Below are 2,180 nucleotides of genomic sequence, written 5' to 3' on the forward strand. Positions count from 1 at the left end.
AGAATAAGCAGAGCTCCTGAGAATCCTTGAAAAGATTGGAGGTGAAGGGATGCTAGTTCTTCCATAGAAGTCAGATGGGAGTTTTATATAGTAGTGTGTGTGTCTGTGTGTGTGTGTGTGTGTGTGTGTGTGTGTGTGCTGTTATTAAAATGAAGAGTGACTCTGGAAGACTGGAAGACTTGGGGACAGCCAGACAGCTGGCCTTTGGGTTACAGTTGCATTTTCCAAGTTTCCTTTCCTTGCAAGGAAAGAAAATACTAAATTTAAACACCATCTTTCAATTTCTCAGTCAATAATTTCCTTTTCTGTCTCTTTCACAAATGCAGTTTCAAGACATCAATGCAAGGCATTTATTTTCTACGGCGCCTTTCAGAAACATGAAATCACTGAAGGAGCGTTGTTAAGCAATTCCAATCCCAATTAGGTTTGCAGCTGATGTCTACGTAGCCTTGTTTAAGTTACTATTCTTTAACAACTTGTGGTGTAACTAGCAAAAATTGTAAAAAGTGGACCTAGATTCTTGCAAAATTACCCTGTAGCGTTCTCAAGGTGGGGGAAAGAAAAATATGGACAACAATTGAACTAAATTTAATTTTATCAAGTTAATAATGCCTTTAAGATTATAGATAGGCCAGGCGCAGTGGCTCACGCCTATAATCCCAGCACTTTGGGAGGCCGAGGCAGGTGGATCACCTGAGATCAAGAGTTCAAGACCAGCCTGGCTAACATGGTGAAACCACATCTCTGCTAAAAATACAAAAAAATTAGCCAGGCATGGTGGCGGGCGCCTGTAATTCCAGCTACTTGGGAAGCTGAGGCAGGAGAATCACTTGAACCAGGGAGGCGGAGGTTGCAATAAGCTGAGATTGCGCTATTGCACTCCAGCCTGGGCAACAAGAGCAAAACTCCGTCTCAAAAAGCAAAACAAAACAAAAGATGATAGATAAACAGAGGAATTTGGGATTTGAAATGTCATCTTCTCTTAAGATGCATCTAGACAGTTGATAATTGCCCAAATAAGTTTAATATGGGATAGACTGCGAACTTTTTTTGCATGCAGATAGCATGAGTTATAGCTATTTCCTTATTTATATTCTAATAGAAAAAGAATTTTTCTTTGAGAAAAGAAAATGGCAACTTTACTATCTTTATCAGATGCGTTTCTGTCTTAAAAAAAGACCGAGGCTGTATGTGGGAAACAAAAATTATAACCAACATTAAGACAATATGTTGTTGAAAATACTGCTATCTAGAGGCCTTAGGAAATAGTATCTAGCAACCACTAGATGTCACTTGATGTTTGCTTTTTTGTAAAAGGTAGTTTTTTTGTTTTGTTTTTGTTTTTTCATAGTTTATCTGCAATTATAAGTCTACAATTCTCAATGGGTCCAAGCTGGCAGAAAACAAAATGCTGCAATATTTGAGTGAAAGCAGGCAAAAGTCATTAGATGAGAACAATGATTTTAACTTTAAATAAGATTTGGGTGGTTGCAGGGTTTGTATAATCTCTCCTGGCATTTGTAAGGACCAGAGAAGCCAGCAGCTTTGCCCTCCTGCTGTGTTTAAACAAAAATGGAAAATTGTAATGAACAGCTAGATTTTTCCTATCTTTCATTTTTTTCTTCCTCCTCCTTCCCCATTTTTAGGAGAATGTGACTTTTAAAATGATTGCCCTTTAATGAGGTTACTTGCAGCATTTTAAGATCAATCCTTCTTTGTTCAAATTTCTACCCACAAATCAAAACTGTTTTAATCTTCATTATCTCAGTAAAGCGCATGTGACAAAAGTAAATGGAGAAGACGTCTAGAAATGTTGTGAGGGTTCTCTGGGGTTATCCACTTCCTGTATTTGCTAAAACTCTAATAATCAGTTCCAGTAGAGACCATGTATCCTGGGGTTTTGTTTTGTGTAACAGCTATTTGTTTATTTTTTTTAACTGTCATTGTATTTTGGCTTCATGATGGTTAAATGAGTCTCCGTATTAAGTAAACCTCTCTGACCCTGCCTATTTCCTGTCTTGTCAAACCTTTCCTTGTAAGAATAACAGTGTTCTTTTATTTGGTAGTGTGCAGCATGATGTTTTTGGCATGGCCAACATTTTTGACTTGCAAAAATTTGTGACCTCAAGTGTGAGAGAAGTGAATGCTTTTTTCGGTACCTCATGGGGTCTCAATCTTAA

The sequence above is a fragment of the Homo sapiens genome, chromosome 15 (genome assembly GCF_000001405.40).
Source record: "Homo sapiens chromosome 15, GRCh38.p14 Primary Assembly".
Lineage (NCBI taxonomy): Eukaryota > Metazoa > Chordata > Mammalia > Primates > Hominidae > Homo > Homo sapiens.